At 45.8% G+C, this 21,201-nt stretch overlaps 1 protein-coding gene across 9 annotated transcripts in view, besides 1 other annotated feature; it reads right to left on the bottom strand.

The window, feature by feature from the left end:
- The window catches only part of NHSL2 (NHS like 2), a 242,442-nt gene that overhangs the window by 86,317 nt on the left and 134,924 nt on the right, over positions 1-21,201 (bottom strand). The gene's annotated exons all lie outside the window — the stretch shown is intronic.
- Positions 6,057-6,351: a silencer, noted in NCBI's record as "tiled region #1584; HepG2 Repressive non-DNase unmatched - State 24:Quies, and K562 Repressive non-DNase unmatched - State 10:DNaseD". NCBI's record gives its function as "represses a minimal TATA promoter and a strong SV40 promoter by Sharpr-MPRA in HepG2 cells, with weak repression in K562 cells {active_cell/tissue: HepG2 | K562}" and the evidence as "EXISTENCE:reporter gene assay evidence [ECO:0000049][PMID:27701403]".

Below are 21,201 nucleotides of genomic sequence, written 5' to 3'. Positions count from 1 at the left end.
TTTGTAGAGATGGGGTCTCACTATGTTGCCCAGGCTGGTCTTGAACTCCTGGGCTTAAGTGATCCTCCCACTTCGGCTTCCCAAAGTACTGGGATTACACCTGTGAGCTATCACATCCAGCCTCAAAGCAGTTTTTTTAACCATCATTGCATATTGTTCTCACACCAGCCCTGTCAGGTAGATAATACTAGTTTAATCTACTCCACAGATACTTAAACAGGCTAAGACAGGGGAGGCAGCTTAGCCAAGGTCCATACTGGCTTCTTCCACTGGGCCTACACCCATGCTCAAGATGTTCCCATTGGAGGAAGAACAACAAAAGAGAAGAGCAGACGCGGAACCCCTCCTTTCTCCCTTGTCCTTTCTGCCTCACCACTCTTCTCCTCTTCTCATCTGAGCTTCTTATTTGGGAAGCCTATATCTCGTGTCCCATGTCCTCACCTCCTCCTCTCTGTAAGCCCCATTGTGGCCCCTGGAGCTTTTCTCACCCAAGCACCAGTGTCCCCATGGCCATAGCCCATTAGATGCTTAAGGATCTGCTGGGAGTCACATACTCCCTCTGGACTAAATGAACCCAACTAGTACATGGTGCAGCCAGGTTTTGGACCCCCGTCTATCTCCACATTCAGTGCTTTCTCCACCATATCCTTTTTTAATAATCTAAATTGGATGAGGAATGCTTTTAGACATCTTTATGCTTTCCTCTCCCTCCCCTACGCATTCACTGAGTCCTGTAAATTGCTCCTTAGAACTGTCTCAAATTGGAGCACTTCACGGCATCATCTCCACTTCCCTCACCCTGGTCCCAGTCACCATCATCCTTCCCCAGACCCCTTCAATGAATATCTTCTTCAGTGGGCTCCCTGATTCCACCTCTGCATCCTAAAATCTGTTCATGACACAGCAGCCAGAGTGAGCTTTTACAAACATAAATCAAACCACATCACTCCATTGCTTGGAACCTTCCAATGATTTGTTGTCTAAAGTGTCAAGTCCACACTCTCCAGCCTATACTCAGAACCGGCTTCATCTGACCTCTTTGCTTCCTCTCTCTTGATTCCCTGAAACAGACCCCTCTGCCCATTCAATCTGGGCTACTCATTCTCTTCTTTATCTTGTCATTGTGGCTTATCATTTCATGGTAAAGCCACCAGGGAAAAGCTTTGTGGTCAGAGAAGCCTAGATTCAAATCCTCATGCTGCCATTTCTACCTGTGTAACCTTGTACAACTTACTTAACCTCCCCAGCTTCCATTTTCCATGTATAATGGGGGAATGAAAACACCTAACTTGTAAGCTGCTGTAAGACTTTCATGAGATAATGCTGAAATGAGCTAAACGACACCAGGCCCATAGTAGGTGCTTGCTAAACAGTGCTTCCCATCCCCTCTCACCGCCTCTACCTGCTGTTCCCAAACCCTACAGGCTGCTCCTTAAGCTTCAGCCCAAATCCCATCACCCCTTGAAAGCCCTCTTTACACACATCCCTACTAGCAGTCTGCAGGGATAATTCCTCTCAATACCTTCAGTTCTGGCTGGCTGAGCCTCTCATTTGTCCTTAAACATAGATGTCCTGGAATTGTTCCAAATCTTCCACGTATTCATGAACCTTCTCTGCCCCAGCAACTTATGAATTCTTTGCGGGATGGGCCAAAGTTTGGGTGTTTGAAGCTGTGCCTTGTGGAGGGCCTTGCACAGAGGATGACTCAGTTAGTGTCTGCCCATTCATGGGCACAGGCCAAGCTACCCTGCTCATGCAGACCTTCCTTCCTCTCCTTCCTCCCAGCCCTCCTTTGCTCCTTGATGATCCCTCTGAAAGCTCCACATGCTTGGTCCTTGTTCCCCCACCAACCCAAGAGTCTTCTCAAATTTTTCTCATCCCTTTCTACTCATCAAGGTGCACATCCAGGTTGGGTAGGGTGCTGGAGGCGCTGTTCTGATGGGTTCACTGCTGTAAGATCACTGCCTATGGAGAGGGTCTGGAAAGGCTGGCTAGCCTTTTCACTGAGCACTGTGCTCAGGGAGGGAGGCATGGTGGCTTTAGGAGGGGGGCTGAACTCCCTGTGGTGTCTTCACTTGGAGTTTGGGGAAGAATGGCTTCTTTCTTTTTCGCCTGTGTTTCAAGCTAAGCCCAGCCAGGAGCACCCAGTTCTATCAAAGAGAGAGGGAGGGCCAGGCCTCACCATTTGGCTGGTCCCCCACCCTACTTGGTGCCTTAGGCACACCAGGGGAGGAGACAGAGAAGTCTGAGGCCCGAAAGAAGCAACTCAGGGGCCCATGTCCCCAAAGTGAAACAGCTTAAGGTTCATCATTACCACCTCACTGGCTGTACCCCTCTGTACTCAGGGATGTCAAAGTGGGTGGACAGGGAAGTGCGGCAGGTGGTACTATCTCTGGACTGCCCCCCGGAACCCAAGAGCTGGGACAAGAACTACCCCTGTCACTTTAGTCATGCTCTTACTCCTCACAACCACCCTGTCAGGTGTGGATTATTAGGACCTAAGCTGAAGATGCGGAGACAGACATTAGATAAAAAAATGGAGCTAGTAAGTGGCAGGGTTGGGACTTGAACCCAAGTTAGGCTGACTCCAAGCCTGTCTCCTTTTCATTCTGCTGATCCCATCTGCCATAACCTGCACATGCTCTAATCTGGTGTGGGGAATTTCCAGGTGCAAGTTCCATAAGGAAAAGTGAATTCTAATACACACTCTGACTCTGACTCCAGTGGGCTGTAGCCTGCCAGCGGCTACCCCTCATAGTGCTTGTGTGTTGTGTGCCCCAAGAGAGCAAACTCACTCAACCCTGGGCCCGGAGACACTTTCCAACTGCACATCAGGCACAGTCCCTCAAGCCTGAAACATAAACTTCTCTTCTAGCCCTGATGAAGTGTTCTCTAGGTTCTATTCCTTCTGCCTAGAATGCTTTTCCTTCCACTTCCATCTCTGCTTGTGAAAAGTCAGACTTATTTCTCAAGACCCAGCCCAAATGTCTCCTCCCCCATGAAGCTTTCTCTGAGCCTGACAGCCAGAATCGACTTCACCTCTGCATAGCCATATCCTCTCTACAGATCTCAGGTCCATCTTGAGCCTTTTCTGATCTTCCCAAACGTAAATAGTCTTCCCCTTGAGTTAATTCCCACGGTACAGTATTCCCCCAAATGCAGTACACATTGTGCTAGTGGTATGTGAGGTGATAGTATGATGAGGAATTTTAGAAATACATGGATGATCTTTTAAAGTTTAACAGTCACATATTTATTCTAATGTATACTAGATTCTAATAAAAATTACAGGGGAAAATTGAGTGCATGAAAAGTAATTTCTTGACTATTCGAGGCAGAATGGAATGAGTTGGTTTAAAGAAAAATAATTTGGTATCTGTGAATTGGATTGAATTACTCATACCTTCCTCAAGGCTGCTGGACAAAAGATCTGCAGTGATGGTTAAAAACTGCTTTGAGGGGTTACTTCTGTAGTCCTGGGCATGGTCAACTTCTTGGCCTTGGAAGTGTGTACATGGGTGTGTATAATTTGTGATCATTCATCAACGTGTGTGGCTTTTTTGTATGTTAATTGCCCATACAAAGTTTATTTTTTAGAAAGTGCCTGACACATAGTAGCCCCTACTCAAGGGAGGTAGAACACTTTGTATTTTGGGCCAAAGTGACCAGAAAGGCAGTGATGTCATTAATGGCCAAGGAACACGGGGATTAGTTACATAGAAAGTGAGTTTGGGGGAGGCAGGAGGCTGTAGAATTATGATTTGGGAAATGTTTTTCTTTTTTGGCCCCTATCCCAGTAAGAAGCCAGAACGCCTTCTGAGAGCTGGTGTTAAGAGTAGTAGGCCAAGGCCAAGGGGGTGGAACCAGCCAAGGCCTGGATCGTGAATAAGCATACACCCCAGAGGCTAAGCAGAGACGCAGACACAAGGGAAAGAGTGCTGGCGGGAGGCTCTATGACCTTGGGCAGGCCCTGGCCATTTTGAGCCCCATTTAGTTTCCATCCGGACAGTGAAACATATGAACCTAATTACCTCCTGAGGGTCCTCTCAGCTCAGACACTCAGAGGGGGTTGTCCTATGCACTGATATTAGTCAACAAGCAGGTTCTCTGATGATCCAAGCACCCACTCTGTTCCAGGTACTATTCTGGTTACAGAGGACACAAGAATGAGAAGCCCCAGCTGCTGCCCACAGGGGGCTCCTAGGCCTCAGTCTTTCCCACATACCTCCCCCTTGGGATCGACCAGCACCAATTTCCAGAATAGAAGGTTCTCTAGACTTGCAAAGGAAACCCTCTCTAGGGTTGGAAATGCACACGCCTGTAATGGTCAGGAAGGACAGGGCCATGAATGAAGTAGGCTAGGGTAAGCCACAGGGTGTGGTGGAGACCTGGAGCATGCATGCTGGCCACCCCCAACCCTGTTCCCAAGGCACTCAACCTCCAATCTGGGAAACCTCTCTGCTGACTCAACCCAACCTATCTGTAGTTCACATTCTGCCAACAGTCTGCCAGTTTGCTTCCCACCAGCTGTGGTCTCCAAGTATTTTTGAGCCTATACTCCCATATATACATATTTATGTATAAACCATATATATGTACTACTGTGCTAATCAGTTTTATAAAATTTAAAACATAAACAAACATGGAAATTAGGATATGATAAAGATGACTGTTAATAGAAATTCTAATATTTTCTCCTTGCACCCTAATAGACGATATATCCACTTTGGAGGCCACAGGTCTAGCACACCACCCTCTGCCTTACAACCAGATGATGGAAGAAGACAAAAAGAAAGTAACAAACATGTATTGCACTCTATTATCTTTCAGGCTTTGTTCTCAATGCTCTACCTACCTCATTCATTCATTCAATAGATTTTATTGAGCCTATTATATTAGGCCCTGTGCTGGGCAGTGGGTGATAGAGGTTAATGAGGCAGATGTAAAGAGTTTACAATCCAGGCAGAGGAGACAGACAATAACCAAGTACACGAATAATCAAGGTAGGACTAGTTCCTGAGAAGTGCCATGAAGGAAATCAGCATGGTGATGTGTGATGGCAAGGGATGGGGCAGGCATGGGGAGCTAGTTTGGATGAGTGGTAAGAGAAGTTCTCTCCGAGCTAAGAACTGAGCCTGAGAAGGAGCTGGCAGAGGGAACAGAAAGTGCCAAGGCCATGAGGCCACGAAGTGAGAGGGACCTCGATGTCTTTGAGAAATGGAAAGGAAGCCAGCATGTCTAGGGTGGAAGAGGTAGGGGGTAAGAGGTGGATGTTATCTGAAGTGCAATGGGAAACCATTAGAGCATTTTAAGCAAGGGAGCGACAGGATATGATTTAAATGTTTAAAAGACCACCATGTCTGCTATGTAAACAAAGGGCTGGAGGGAAGTTCCAGTAGAAATGGGCAGGAGGCTATCGTAGTAGTCCAGGCAAAAGATGATGGGCCAGGATCAGGGTGACGGAAACAGAGAGAAGCAGGCAAGCATAAGATATATTTAAACCTCATAACAATTTCACCATCATACCCATGAAGGCTGTATTACCATCCCCATTGCACGTATGAGAAAACTGAGATTAGGGGAAGTTAAGTAACTTGCCAAAGATCACACAGCTTGTAAGTGATGAAAGCAGGATTCACCCAGGTCTGCCTGGCTTCCTTCCCAGCCTACTCAGGATTCCAAATATGTTTCCTGCTCCAGGGAGTAATTCACCAGGACAATATAGGGTCTTCCTGTTTCAATCCTGAAAAACATTGGGCATTCCGAAAAAAGAAAAAGGGATTGAGGACAATTTGATCCAGCAATCAGCCAAGGGTATGTGAGTGATTCGAACAGTCCATTCCTTCCATTTTCATAAACACACCGAGTTCACCAGAGCTCTAAGTAAGGGAAAAACCATTCTTTCCTTTGGAGTGGGGAGTGGTCAGGAGGAGGGTAGTGATGGTATATTTGGAAATAGAAAAATAAAAAGCTGCCAACTTGTGCCTTCAAGGAAAACCCAAGGGCGCAGGCCAAGACAGGGGAAGTGACTTGCCAAATCCCTCCTCACAGCCCCCAGAGTTATTCATGTGAAAAAGAAGGCGGAATTGTCCCTGCCAAAGACATGAAGTCCTTTACAGAGCACTTTGTTAGCAAAGCCTAGCATCCCTGTCACTATGCAAAGCGAGCTGGAATGTTGCCATGGCAACGGGCAGCTGGGCCCTTGAATCAGCTTGAGGCCTGCCTTGGGCTCACACAAGCCTGTGGGGGCATCTCCTGGAGGTTGGGCAGTGGGCAGGGAGCTGGTTTTATGTTTGTCGATGAGGAGTCCTGAGCTCCCTTCTAGGTAACCAGGGGTCCGAAGGCTGTGTCTTCAGGAAGTATTTCCCGTTGTCAGATATGCCTAACTTCCACAACACGCAGCATCCCAGGTTGGCATGACCTGATCATTTTCCCAATTCAATGACAGAAAATGGAAACACCCAACTGCTGTAAAACAAAACTTCTTTATGTTACAAGTATAGGAAGAAACCAAAGCCCAGAGAGGGCAAGTAACTTGCTGAGGGTTGCACAGCCTTACTAGTGCCAGAGTCAAACCACAACTCCTTTGACTTCTGAGGTAGTGTGAGTTTCACCATACTACACTTCTTTCCTTAGACACTGGGGAGGGAGAAAAATGAATTGATGTTGACAGAGCCCCTCTATGTACCTAACACCATGCTGGATTCTTTGGCATTCCTCATAGCTCATCTGCACCACAAACCTGCAATGGAGCTATTACTATCCTCAATTCGCACTTTAGGAAACTGAAGCTCAGAGAGATCAGGAAATTGGCTCAAGGTCACACAGCTAGATGGACTTCAAAGACTAGTCTTTGTGCTTCACCACATGGCCTCATGCTTCTGAGGTCAAATGCACTTTTTTCCCCTTTGTGTGAAAGACAGACATAATTGCAAGTGATTCTAGATGCTATCCCTACTCTGCTATTTATGGTAAGAAAGTGTTCTGCTGCAGATCACCAAGCCGCCCCTCAGTAAAGCTTCATAACCGCTGATAGAACCCTGGCCCTCAGTTTTTTCATCTCTAAAGTGAGGATACAGTGAGTTTGGGGTTGCTAGAGAATGAGACTGAAAGAGAATGCATAGAAAGTGCATAGAGCAAGGTCTGGTGCATAGCAAGTGCTCAGTAAATGTTAGTTATCATTAAGATTATTCCTTTTAGGGATCAGCTCAAATTCTGCAACCTCAACCACCCCAGCCATCATTTGATGCAATCCCCTTTCACTCCCCAGCCATCCATTCATTGCCAGTTGTCAGCACCCAGAACTGAATTCCTTCCCTCAGAGGAAGGGAAGGGCATCAAGAAAAGGTGATGTCGAACTCGAAAAGAATGAAGCAACATTTGCCAGTAAAATGAGGTTTGGAGAGAGGACATTCTAGGCAAAGAGGACGTTTTGAGCAACAGCATAAAGGTATGAGGGTTTCTCGTATTTGGGAAGAAAAATAAGTGATCTGGTATAGCCAGGTAGAAGATGAGGTAGTTGGAACTAGACCAGGGAGGCCTTAAATGTCATGAGAATGGGTGTGGATTTTATCTTGAAGGTGATAGTGAGCCACAGAAGCTTTGGGCAAGGGAGTGACCTGAAGATCAGTAGGGTGGCTGCAATGTGGAAGGCTGATTGGAGAGGGGCCGGGACACCAGTTAGGAGGCTCTGGAAGGGGCCCAGATGAGACATGATGAAGGCTTGCCTCAGGGTGGAGCGGTGGGGCCAGACAGGGAGAATAGACCATGGTGGTGATATGGAGATAGAATGGGTGGTGCCATTCCTTAAGTTAGAGAACCCTGGAAAACCAGCAGGTGCAGGGATGAGGAGGAGAGAGCTTGCCTGGGACACAGTTTGTGTGTCTAGAGGGTGGTAAAGATATGTGATCCAGAGCTCAGAGCTGGAAATAAATACAAATGGAGCAGTCACAAGGTCTTGGAAGTATATGAAGCCAAAAAGCAGGTGAGATGGTCCAGTCTGAGTGGGGAGAATGGGAAGAACAGGGAGCACTGATGTTGAAACTCTGTGTCACAACTCTGTGTCTCTGCCTTGCTCTGCAATGGCAGCCTTCCTGTGCAGTAGTCCAACATTTGTGCAGCTCCCTGACATGCAGACCAAATCACTCCTGCAATGTGATGGACAAAGACAGTGTCCACTCTCATGCATAGGGCCTTAGCAAGCCAGGTCAGGTAGCAATCCTGGTGTCCTTTACAATGAGGATTTTCTGGACAAGGAACTGGAGAATCCTAACAGATCATAAAGAGTTAAGGGGCAGGCAGAGAAAGCCTTTAAGAACTGGGAAGCTGGCCGGGCACGGTGGCTCACGCCTATAATCCCAGCACTTTGGGATGCCGAGATGGGTGGATCATGAGGTCAATAGATCGAGACCATCCTGGCCAACAAGGGGAAACCCCGTCTCTATGAAAAATACAAAAATTAGCTGGGCGTGGTGGCGCGTGCCTGTAATCCCAGCTACTCGGGACGCTGAGGCAGGAGAATCGCTTGAATCGGGAAGGCGGAGGTTGCAGTGAGCCGAGATTGCATCACTGCACTCCAGCCTGGTGACAGAGTGAGACTCCATCTCAAAAAAAATTAATAACAATTTAAAAAAAAAGAACTGGGAAGCTGTCAAGCCCCTGGTGCCAGAAACAAGTTTTCTAAAATTCTGTTTTTCACTTGAAAGTTCAAGTTTTATCTTTGGTAACAAATACTGTGAGCTGTTTTCCTTGAAGCAACAGGCTCATTTTGTTCATCTTTGAGAAAAATGTCCACCAAATACTCAAGTCTGACTAACCATAGTTTACCTGTCAATTGTTCTTTCAAGTGAAAATGACGTTCCAGGAAAAAGGAGGCCTGTTGAGCTCACACCTCAAACAATTGCACAGTGCTCTTCTCTAGACAACCATCTCACTCAGCATGCAGCAGAAGTGCTTTCTGTGTTCTTCCTGTTTCATCACACAGGATATTAAAAAGACATCAACTCCAGGCTTGAGATTTAATAAAAATTGCCATTTCTTACTGCTTTATCTAAGCTACTTTTCAGTAAGATTGGTGGCTTTTCCCCCCTTTTTCTGAGTATGTAGTGGTGAAAAATACAAAATACAATGACTGCTAGTACAGGCTGGTGCCACTGCCTTGATTCACACTAAGGTGGCAACAGTTTTGCAAATGGTGCAAAAATCAACCTCATGAAAAAGGCAAATAGTGTCCTAGTGTTATCGTAGAAACAGCTCTGACCTTGAGCATCCTCCAAAAGAGTCTCAGAAACTCTGAGGGGTCTGTGAATTGTACTCTGAAAATCTCTGGTTTAGAGAAATTCTTGCCCAGGTCCCTAGGAGCAAGTCGAGGAAGGTTCATTGCAGCATTATTTGTGGTCATGGACAGTTGGCAGAACCAAGATGTACAGTCTCAGAGGAAGGGAGAAGTAAAATGTGGTGGATGAGTGCCAAGTCAGACAGAAGTGATCAACGAGATGTGCACATAGCAGCACCGAAAGGCCTCAAAACAGAGGGTTGAGGGAAAAAAGAAACAGAATATGATCTATGGATCAATACTATTTATGTAAATTAAAAGCACATAAACACAGAAAACACTATGTAATTTTCAAAGACATTTCCAACAGCATGTATCAAACCATTAAAGAGGAACTGGGAGTGGAGATTAGAGATGAAAGGAAAAATAAGATAAAAAAATTTAAGGACCTTGCATGGATAGATAATGGTGTGCACAACAGTATACTTAACTGTGCCCTTGAATGCAAACAAGGACAGAATGAATGGGAGGCAGAAAATAAAGTACCTTTTCAAGAGGCTTGATGGCAGAAAGAAAGGGGATTGCTAGAGAGAGAGGTTCACAGAGAGAAGTGGGCAGGGATGTCTGGCTTTGCCTTCTAGCAATCTACCCAACGTGCTCCAGCCTGGGTTCCCAATGGCCTCCTGGTGTCTGAAGTTCACAGAATCAGGCCCTGGTAGGGAAGGGCACTGAAGGACTCCATACTTGCTGGCTCCCAATTTCTCTGGGAAGTAAGAGATGATATCATCGTCTAAAAGTAGGAGATGGTAGGTAGTCCGGCCTCAAGAGCCAGGGAAGGCGTAAAGCAGCTGCCATAGAGACCAGACAAAAGTAAAAGTATTTGTAGGCAGCACTGATGGCTCAGCTGGAGATTGAGGGAAGTCTGGGATGGATGGGAGGGAAATTGAAGAATTGAATGCCTGGTGGCCTTGATTTTTCATTCATTTCTTCAGCCAGTCCATTGGTCAACAAATATAATATTTATTATCTATTACATACCAAGGTACTTGGGATACCAATAAGGAGTAAAACAGGCTTAGTTTCCATCCTCATGGACATGCCAGTCTGTGTGTGAGCGTGTGTGTGTGTGTGTGTGTGTGTGTGCGCAGACGTTAAATAAGCACACAAATACATATATTATGAAGCAATAACAACTGCAATGAATAAAGGGTACAGGGTGCTGAGAGAGTATATTGGTGAGGCTTGATATAGTCTAGGAGGCCTGTTGGTAAATAGACACTTCCATCTTTGTTTTCAACAGCTGCATAATGCCCCACTATATGGATGCTCCATAGTTTACATAACCAGTCACCTACTGTAGGGAACACAGAATTTTCTCCCTTTCTCTTTACATCATAACCAATGTTTTGATGCACATCTTTGTACATGCATCTCTAGCACTCGTTTGATTATTCCCTTAGTATGCATTTCTAAGAGTAGAATTGCCACATCAAAGGATGTATACATTTTTAGGCCTTTTGAAACATATTGCCCAACTGTCCTGCAGAAAGGAGGTACTGATTTACATGGGAAAATGTCCGCTTTTAAAAAAAGGGTTAATGGTGGCCAAATCTAGGTGGTAATAATTCCGTAAAAAATTTTAAAGGCTGCATAGTATTCCATGGTTATTTACACGATTTTTTTCTATTTTGCCATTACAAAAAAAGCAATTTACTTATTTAACAACAACAATAACAAAAGTGGAAAGTTTTGATAAAAGAAACCACCTACCAAGGTTAGAATATGCTTTCATCTGTTCAAGTAATATGCTAGGTGATAGGACTAAAAAGGTGACATCTTTTTTAGAATCTCCAGTAAAGAAGTAGATTTTTAGTCTCAAGGTTCGGAACATTTGCGTTTCTGTTAAGCAGTTGATTTGCTTTTATCTATGAATCTTATAACTGATCATACCTCCCTTTTTGTTATCTGCCATGAAAGGTTAAAGTCAAATTTGGGACCCACATTTATCAAGAGGGGACTTCCTGAAATTCACTTTCTATCACGACTTCTTCACAAGTTACCCTTGTTTTCTCTCTGCCTCATCTTCCTCCCTTACATCTAATTTAGGTTCTCTCCAAGTATAGGATGTATCTTATAAGCCACCTTAAACCCTTTTTGGAATAAGTCAAGGTGGAAATAATTTTTTACAAAAATTAAGCTAAATGCTCAGATCTCCCTCCAACACAGTCCTCAAGAGGCATAGGCAAGACACAAACAGAAAGATGCCTCAAGAAAACAACAAAAACCTAATTGGAGGTCAATCGATTTCTGGGCTACATGCGTCAAAGCTGAGGTCTTCAGCTTCCAAACACGCAAAGTAATTTAGCGCTCGCGTTCCCATGGCAACCGTGCCAGTGATGGAGAAGATGCAGCAAGCCCGGCCTGGCGGTTGCTGGGGAACTCGGGCTGTTGGCTGCGTGACTTTGCTCAAGTCTGAGTGTTTAGATGCGCAGGGACTTTCCATTAACTGGGAGCTCTGGATTCGGACCTAACTGAAAATGTAGTTGCTGAGGAGAGGTGAAAAGTGTACACTGGAAATGGAGTGACATCTAGGTAGCCTCCAATACTTGAAGTTAGTTAGCACTTTCCTTTTTCTCTTTCTCTCCCCGCTTGCTAAAGAAGGGGGTTAGGAAGCGGGAGACGGGACAACAGGCAAAGGGATCCACCCCAAGCTGTCCTTTTACAAAGGGGCTGAAAGAGTGACGGGGGAAAGGGTGATCTCATTAGCATATTTAAAGCTCCAGCCTAATGACTGCTTTGTGCCTCAACTGAAGAAAAATTGTGCTAACTGCAGGGGGAGGGGCATCATGGAGGCTAGAAAAGGGGATCCCAAAAGAACTCAAATGGGGTGAGGTCGATGAATGTCATCCTCGCCACTTGGGGAGAATATAGATGAGTATTTATTTGGTCTGGGAGGAGGCAAGACTTTCTAAGCATTAAAATCACAAAGGAAAATGTCAACATATTTGGCAGCATCATTTAAAAAAATGTTAGCACATCCCAAAGCACAACAAACCAAAAATCAAAGAGAAAATAGCAAATTGGGAAAGAAAAAGATATTTGCAGCATAGGACAGAAAAGGGTTAATATCTTTACTATATAAAGAGCTTTAAGTAACAAACTCTTTACCAATAAGTAAACAGACACACATATTTTACTTTTCTAATCAAGAAAAAACCAACTCTATTTCAGAAGAGAGAGAAAGAGTCCAGAAGAGCATGTCATTCTCTGAAAGGGAAGCTATTAAGAACGACAGAATGCGGATCAGCTCAGACAACAGCTAAAGTGGCCCAGGGAAGAGTTTGAAAATGTTCTGCTTATTGCACTGGAGAGATGGGAGTGGAGATTGGGGGGTTTCCTAAAGCTTACTGCACCAATCAAAAAGCAATCATTTTGGAACAACCTGTCAAAATAGTACTGGAACCTGTCATTGACATATGCAAGCAGGAAGGCTCTACTTCCCACCCACACAGTGTAGACAGAGGAGTATGGCAGAGAAAGCGTTGCAGCATCTCCTTGGAAGAGAGGGCTATGGAGTATCCCTGGCACCTACAGCAGAGCTGGCCCAGAGTAAGCAGGTGTTCAGTGAGGCCTTGTTGAAGAGTTGTGAGGTTCTCTTCATGATGGCCAAGTCCTTAGGTGGAGTCCTTGGTTCCAAGCAGCCTTCAAGGAACTCACCCACTCTCTTTGAGACCCCACCAAGGAGCTCGCTGTGAGTGTCTATCCCAAGCTCAGGTTCTGGGAAGGAGAAGCAGACTTATTCTGTGTTGCTGTAGATGGTAGGAGTATTAATTTCTTCCACAAACATTGCTTGAGGCCAATTATGTGCTGGGAATGAGATGGGGGTGGAGGAGTGGACCCCAAAATGAGGAGCGTATTACAAACAGTTCCCAGTCTATTGGGAGAGACAACATGTAACTTATGAAAGAAGCAGCTTTTGAGATGGGCTTTGAAGGTTGGGTAGGAGGTCAGCACGCAGAGATGTAGTCAGACAGCATACAAAAATTGGAACTGAAGGCAAAGACATGTGCATGGCGAGATGATCCCTCGGGCCCTTTTCTGTTCTGCCAGTCTACGATTCTGAACTTCAGCCTCATTCTCAGCAATAATATCTCTGTGAAATCATGGATTTCACAGGTATGCTGGTTATACTTTTCTCTCATATATAGAAAAATAAATATGCAAGCATTCAAGTAAAAAGAAAAGTTCATCTGTACCTCTTGAAGGCATTTCAATTAGTGTGGTGGAGTTTACACAGTTCTAGGAAACTGTGCCAGAGGTCATAAGGAGTTATGGAGCGTCCTGTCCCCAGAATGGAGAAGATTGGAGGTGGAGAGAATGGAGACAGGCAAACTGGTCAGGCGACTGTCGCAAGAATCCAGTGAGAGGATGGGCCCCCTAACTTCTCAGAAGAAATGGCTGAGAAGCCTGGGGTGCGCGGGGTGAAGCAGCTGATTAGACCAGAGAGAAGGCTCCTAATTCCTGGTTTGCTGCACTCAAATCCTAACGAGGCAAGGCTCACATTCAATTCTGGTCATTATGTTCTTCTCAACATTGTTTTCCATTTCCCTTACCCAATTTAGGATGTATTGTTATGGCTGTTTAAATAAGGTGCCAATCCGACTGGGCAAGAGCAGGAAATGTTTCCACACAGGAAAGACTCTCATCAGATCCCTATTGCCTTTTGCAAATGGAAATCAAGCCTCCTTCTACAGAGGGCATGAGGGCTGAGTCACAGCTGCACCGTTAACATATTAGTAACACAGAAAATCCTCCTTTTCTGTTAGCAGCTTGGCCAGAGAATGTCTACAGAGGGGCTGGGGGGAGCAGAGGGTGAAGAAAGGGGTGGAGAGAGGGATGGCTCAGGAGAGGCCCCCACCTACCCTTTTCATTTGCAACCTGGAGGGGGTCTTCCCTTCCCAAACACAGGAAGATGACTCATTTAAAAACCACCAGGGTGGTCAGCCTAAGTTGGATAGACCAGGCGAGAGTGTCGTGTGCTCCTGGAGGAATGAGAGGGACATGGGGGAAGCTGGACTGGAAGAGGAAGGAATGGGGAGGACTGCAATGTAGCCAGGTCCTTACTCCATCTCCTCCCTCATCCCCAAGCCCATCTCTTTCAGTTGAGACCCTTTGCCTTGTTCCAGAAATCATGTGGCCTCCCAGGCAACTCCCAGGGCGGTTGGCCTGAAGGTCACAGGCTCCTGGCCTCTTGGCACCTCTGTGACTTATCTGAAATATGGTTCTCCTCCTTCAACTGTCCAAGACTTTTAATGCCCGACCTGCCATGCAAGCAAGCTCGCCCTGAGGCCCCTAGTTGGTGCCAGGCACTGGGGACAGAAACTAGGAATTGAGCATCCAGTCAGACAGGTGTGCCTCGGAGGACTGAGGAGGGCAACTTTCTCAGAGGATGATAACCACGCATGTCACCCTTCACCCCATCACATTGGAAGTGCCACAAAGCCAGGAGCCTCATCTGGCTCAGCCACCACTCAGCACCTAGTGCAGAGTAGGTATGTAATACACATTTGTTTAGTTTGTTGAAGGAATTCTAAGCAACAAAGGAAAACGAGATCCATTTTGGTTACACTTACTTTCCAAGCAAAAGAGTCAAGAGGCTTTATGTCTGATTTGTATAAGCTGCTGGGATAAATACTATAATAGAGAAATAAATGCTATATAAAGTACAGTGGGAGCTGAGAGGGGGACTCTGCCTGGAGTTATCTGGAGAGGCTTCCAAGAAAGCTGTCATTGAGGCAAGTTGTGAGAAATGAATGAGGTTTTCCTAGGTGGAAGTGAACACTGAGACTAGGTGTAGAGAATGGTGGCAGGACCAGAGGTGTGCAGGCAACAGGTGGGGACATGTTGGAGAGAGACCCGCAAGTGGAAGAATCTGGAGGAACCAAAGACTTCCTGAGTGTGTGCTGAGGGCAGGCAGCAGGAGATGATGTTGGAAAGGTTGCCTGGATCCATCTGTGGAGGGCCTTAAATTCCAGCCAGAGGAGTAGATCGGGAACATGTTGTGGAGAAGGAAACCTTAAATAGGGTTGATCTGGCAGTGAGGTAGGAGAAGCAAGAGGAAGGAGGGCTGGATAGGAGATGATCACCTGGTATGACAGTGTCTAGGAAACTCGGTCACTGTGAGAACAGAGTGGGAGGGCCTAGGGTGAAATGTTGATGGGGCTGTAGAGAAACAGATTCTCTCAGATATTTCTGGCAGAACTGTGCATCGGTATAGCCATCTGAAAGAGCGATTTTGCAATATCTACAGATACCCCTCAACTCAGCAATTTGACTTCTTTCTAGGTACATACAACTGAAAATTTCTGTACATGCATGGGGAAATATCTACAAGAATGTTCATTGTAACATAGTTGGTAATGGTAAAAAATAGAAATAATCTAAGTGTCTATCAGTAGTGGATTAAGAAATCAATTTTATTATTCATCTGATGGAATACTATATAGCAGTTAACATGAACAAACTACATCTATGGGTGTAAAAGGGACAGATACCAAAAAACATAACACTGAGTGAAGAAAGCACATTTTAGAGTTACTTCATGTAGTATAATAGCACTTATGACAAATTTTAAAAGTGCAAAACCAAATAGTACATACCATTTATGGATGCATAAACATAGCCTGGATTTGCATCACAGCCCAGACAATAAAAAATAGGACTGAGGAGGAGAATGCAGGGACGTCGGTGGCATCTGTAACGTGGTTTTGGTTTGGTTTGGTTTTTGTTTTGTTTTTTTTTTTTTGATAGATGGAGTCTTGCTCTGTCACCCAGGCTGGAGTACAGTGACGCAACCTCAGCTCACTGCAATCTCTGCCTCCCGGGTTCAAGCAATTCTCCTGCCTCAGCCTCCTGAGTAGCTGGGATTACAGGCGTGTGACACCACACCTAACTTTTGTATTTTAGTAGAGACAGGGTTTCGCTATATTGGCCAGGCTGGTTTCAAACTCCTCACCTCAAGTGATCCACTCACCTCAGGCTCCCAAAGTGCTGGGATTATAGGCATGAGCCACCAGGCCTGGACTGTAATGTTTTCTTTTGCTAGAAAAAGTTGCTGGCAAACATGACGCAAATGTTAACATTTGTTCATTTTGGGTGGTTCATATGCATGTTTATCATAGGCATTTGCTACATTATCTTCTGACATTTTTCCTTAGTGTTTTTTAAGCAAAAAAGAAAAAAGGAAAAAAGGGGAGGAATGAAAGAGACAGAGCCGGCCACTACCTCATCTAGCAAATAGAAGCCTACAGACACTTACTGAAGGACAACACAGCCACAATCAAGAAAAATAACAGGAAAAATGACCCCACAGCTCCTAATAAATGCTATGTTTCAGAGCCTGGGCTCATTGCCACCCTTGCCCCTACCCGCCTTTGCTGGCTGTCAGTCAAAAAAACAATAAATAGTACACGAAAGTGGATCCAAGGTGGAGAACAATGATTTGGAACTCTTGCCAGACCCGGATGCAAAGGCACTTGGAGAGCAAAATTTACACATATGTTCCCCATGTGAGAAACAGTTCATCCCTGCAGGGTGTCTAAGTACCACGAGGCCTTCTGGAGGGAGAGAGAGGAGGAGGGTTTTCAGGGCATCAGACCAAGAGAGAAGAATGGTGAAATCGAAGGGAACATAACCTACCAAAACCAGAACTATAACTACAACTAGAAGCTAGTTATAGCTAGAGGATTTATTTATGCTTGTTTTGTGAATTGTTGTGTCACCAAAGCCTTGAACAGTGTTTGATACATACTAGATGCTCAGTAAACATGTGTAAGTGAAAGGGAACAGTGAGTGACACGAGGTGGATGGGAGGAGCCTTGAGCGTTCCCAGCTCTTCCTCATCTTGATTGCTTAAGTGACCAGATTTCAGGTGTGCCAAAGCAGGCACTCACAATGTTTTCTAGATAATTTCTATCATTGCCTGAGGTAAGAACCGGGGGCCTGGATTGAGACACTGGCAGTAAAAGGGTGATGGAGTTATAGAGGAGTGAGGCTCCAGGAAGAATAAAGAGTCAGGAGGCTTAGGCAAGACATGCCCCTAAAACATGAAAATCTCATGAGTAGGAACAGGTATGAGGGGGTTTGGGGAAGCAAAATGGACACCAGAGAGAATAAAGAAGGGAATTGGGGGGAGTCTCACCCACTCCGGGCACTGGGAATTCATAAGGTGCCTCCTCCTGCTAGATGTACAGCTTGGAGAGCTGCAATGCCTTTGAGAGAATTAGGAAAAAGTGGCCCCAGGATAAAGGTCTTGACTATTGGATTGTCCCCACTCACTTGGGTGAGCTTGCGCAGGGCACAACCTGCAGAACCACACACCGAGGCCCTGGCCCCCAGATCCGCATTCTGGGCCACCAGGTTCTTTCTAGTCTCTCATCATTCTGCAGCCCCTCGCCACCTGCTGGGAGCACTCTGTTATCACTCTGGCTGCCATCCCTGCTTCATAGCCCCTGCCAGTCCACTTTGCCCTGGATCACAGCAGGGCCTTCCCTGGCAAGAAGCCAACAGACAGCAACAAGTTCTCAGGTGAATTTTGAATCCTCCTCCTCCTCCTCCCCTCCTCCTCCTCCTCCTGCTCCTCTTCTTCTTCTTCTTCCTCTTCCTCTTCCTCTTCCTCTTCCTCTTCTTCTTCTTCTTCTTCTTCTTCTCCTCCTTCTTCTCCTCCTTCTTCCTCATTTTTACAGACAGGGGCAAGCATAACTCACTATAACTTTGAACTCCTGGCCTCTAGAAATCCTCCTGTCTCAGCCTCCTGAGTAGCTGACATTACAAGCATGAGCCACTGTGCCTGGCCTTGAATATTATTCTGTGTGCAAAGACTCTGTGTTCTAATCAGGAACATTTCGACTGCTTCAGACAGGGAGGCACACGCTTTTCTACCTTCCTGAAACAGGTCGAGTAAAGTCCAAGAAGCCTGAAGCCAGAAACAAGCTGCTGCCCCGCCCTGGTGTTGCCTACAGGAAATATTGACAACATTTCTCCTGTCACCATGGAGGAGAAATGCCCTCTAACCCCAACTCCAGCATCCCAGAGAGAGTTTTTGAGTCTGCTGGGCTGGGACACATGCAAACAGTGGGGATAGAGCATCAGCACTCTCCTCAGGACCCCAGTGGCATTATGTCACCTTTTCTCAAGCAGGAGAATGCAGCCTCTTGAATTCCGAGAAAGTGGTGGCCATTGGACAGGAGCTCTGTCACTTTTCCCCAAACAATAAAGTTATCTGCATCTTCCCCTTCGTGACAACATGTCCTTCAACTTTTCTAAAGGCTACCCCTACCCACACGCACTCTGGCTCCCATTCCTTCCTAATAACCACCTTTTCCTTGAACCCAAGTGTGGGAACCTCACTTAATCTCTCCATGCCTCCTCGGATGCATAGGAGAATTAGGAAAAAGCTTCCTCATCTTTATTAGGGGGAGAAAATAGTATCTACCTTATGGGGTTATTGTGAGGACTGAGTGAGTTAATCCAATAAATGTTTAGTGTAATGCCTGCCATATAGTAGGCACTCAAAATGTTGCTTTATTATTATTATTATTATTATTATTATTATTATTATTGTTATCATCATGAGTGTGAAAGGCACAGTTAAGGGCAGTGAACTCTTAATGGCACTGAACCAGTGTGGACAGACAGGTCTGGGTTAGCTATCTGTGGAACCAAGGTTTGTCTCAGGATGGAGGCCCTACCAAGAAGGCTTCTGGCCACTGCCTGGCTGGCTCCTGGAGCCCTCAGAGTACATCCCTCTGCTTAGTGGAGTTGGCAACCCTTACCTCCTGACACTCTTGGCTTCCCATCTTGCCTCCTCTTTGCCCTATTTAGACTTGCTCCACTGATCTGAACTGACTGGGCAGTCTCAAAGGCTGCTAGCCCTAGGAGCTGGCCTTGGCACAATGCTGTACCATAGCATGAGGCCACCCTTCTCTATACCCAGCCCAGCACTCTGGGCCTCACAATGTTTGGGAGAAATCTCCTGATGGTTCTCATCAGGAAACATTTGCATATGGACTCCCTGGAACCCAATTTAGGGAGACAACTATTGAGCTAAAAATTTCACAGTCAGGACCAGTCTCAGTATAGGCAGATAGGATTTGGGGGAGCAAGAGAAAGATTCCAGAGTGTCTTCTCTGTCACCCAGTGGCTGTTGCCTAAACTTCCACTATTGGAAAGCTTCATTCCTGGGCCATAGCCATTGCTCCCTGTGAGAAGACAAAGTCCCTGAGAATGGGAACATAGTAAGTCAGCCTCCAATGTCGATGGCCTCCGTGGAACAGTTTACTGAGCAAAGTCTGCAAAACTGGGAAACACAATAGGTAATAGCTCCCTTTTCCCTTGCCTCCTTGCCACAACAACCACTGAGAAATAAAAACTCAAATACAGGTAAGGAGAGCATGAGTGTGGAGACCCTTTGGGGAAAGCTGAGGGCACTAGGCTTCTAGGTATGGTTTCAGGATGGTGGCTGAAGAGGATGATGAAGTGAGATGTGTATGTTGTGGCCAGGGGTGGGGGTGCTGGGAGGGGAAATAAGGGTGCAACCATGTTTTAACTTCACCACCTTCAAGGTGAATGACAGCTATTGTGTGTGCTCATCACAGTGCATTTTGAGTTAAACAAACCTAAGTTTTAATTCCGGCTCTGCCACTTATTAGCTTTGTGACTTTGGAGATGTCACTTAACCTCTCTGAATCTCAGTCTTTCCATCTGCACAACTCTGTTGTTACTAATAACAATACCAAATTAATAATGTTGTTTGGGGGCTTAAATGAAAAAAGACTTACAAGAGAAACCAGCCCAGTGCAGCACAGCGGCAACTCATTTATCTGCTCCATCTGAATCTTGCTCTGGGCCAGCAAAAGGTGCTTTGCCAGCAATGTAAAGACACCGAGAACCAGAAACACATGGCAAAGGTGATCCCTGAAACCTTTCTCTGCAGTGTCCGTCCTTGAAATGTCCCCAGGGAAGAGAGCATAATCCTCAGTCTAGGACTTGGGAGCCAGAATCCAGATGGCATGGCCCATTTATCAGCACCACCAGACTCTCAACTTTAATAAGCCTTCTGCATTAGTAACCACAGGAAGAGGAGGAAATGGGCTAGATTCCTTAGCGATAATGAGCACTGCCGGCTCACTTTTATATTGGCAAAGTGCATCGTGATCACTCTGATTAGTTAGTTTGCTCTCATATCAGCCCTCAGGAGGTACAAGGAGTATTTTTCTCTTTGTTTTAAAGATGCAGGAACTGGGAAGCACAAGCTGTCTGCCACTTGCAGCCCTTGGCCTGGTCAATGCCTCTACTCAGTATATGGAGCTGCCTTATGGCTCTTAGAATTTTAGGGATGAATTTTAGAGTCTAGTGCCATTTAGTACTTTTCTGGGAAGACAGGTTGCCTGGTGTTGTCTAAGAGATTCTGTCCTTTACCTATCAGACGAGGTTGTGGGCCGGCCTAGGAGCAAAGAAACTCCAAACCTTAAAAGGTTAGAAATGCAGGACCTAGGGAATTCGGGGAAACAGACCAATGAAAGTGCTTAGCAACATCCCAGGACCAATGCGGGTGAGCCCCTCTGTTTCCATGAGACAGTCTTGATTTTCATTGGCCATGAACATGATACTGTCTCCCTGAATGAGGGTGAGGGAGTGGGGGTTGTCTGCAGCTCTGTTTAGGTGTTTATACCTGTCTATGAAGGGAGCTTAAGAAAACTGGGGGAGTTCCCATTTGGGCCCTTGGCACTGGGAAGTTCTCAGTCATATCAGAAAAATGAAAGCAGTTTGGCAGACTTTTACTGTTGCCATATCCCTGCACAAATGCAAATTGTGCGGGCCATAGGTATGCGGTCTGTACACAATACGAAAAGGCACACATGGTCATC

Source organism: Homo sapiens, chromosome X, assembly GCF_000001405.40.
Source record: "Homo sapiens chromosome X, GRCh38.p14 Primary Assembly".
Classification (NCBI taxonomy): Eukaryota; Metazoa; Chordata; class Mammalia; order Primates; family Hominidae; genus Homo; species Homo sapiens.
This window is presented reverse-complemented; position numbering and strand designations above follow the sequence as displayed.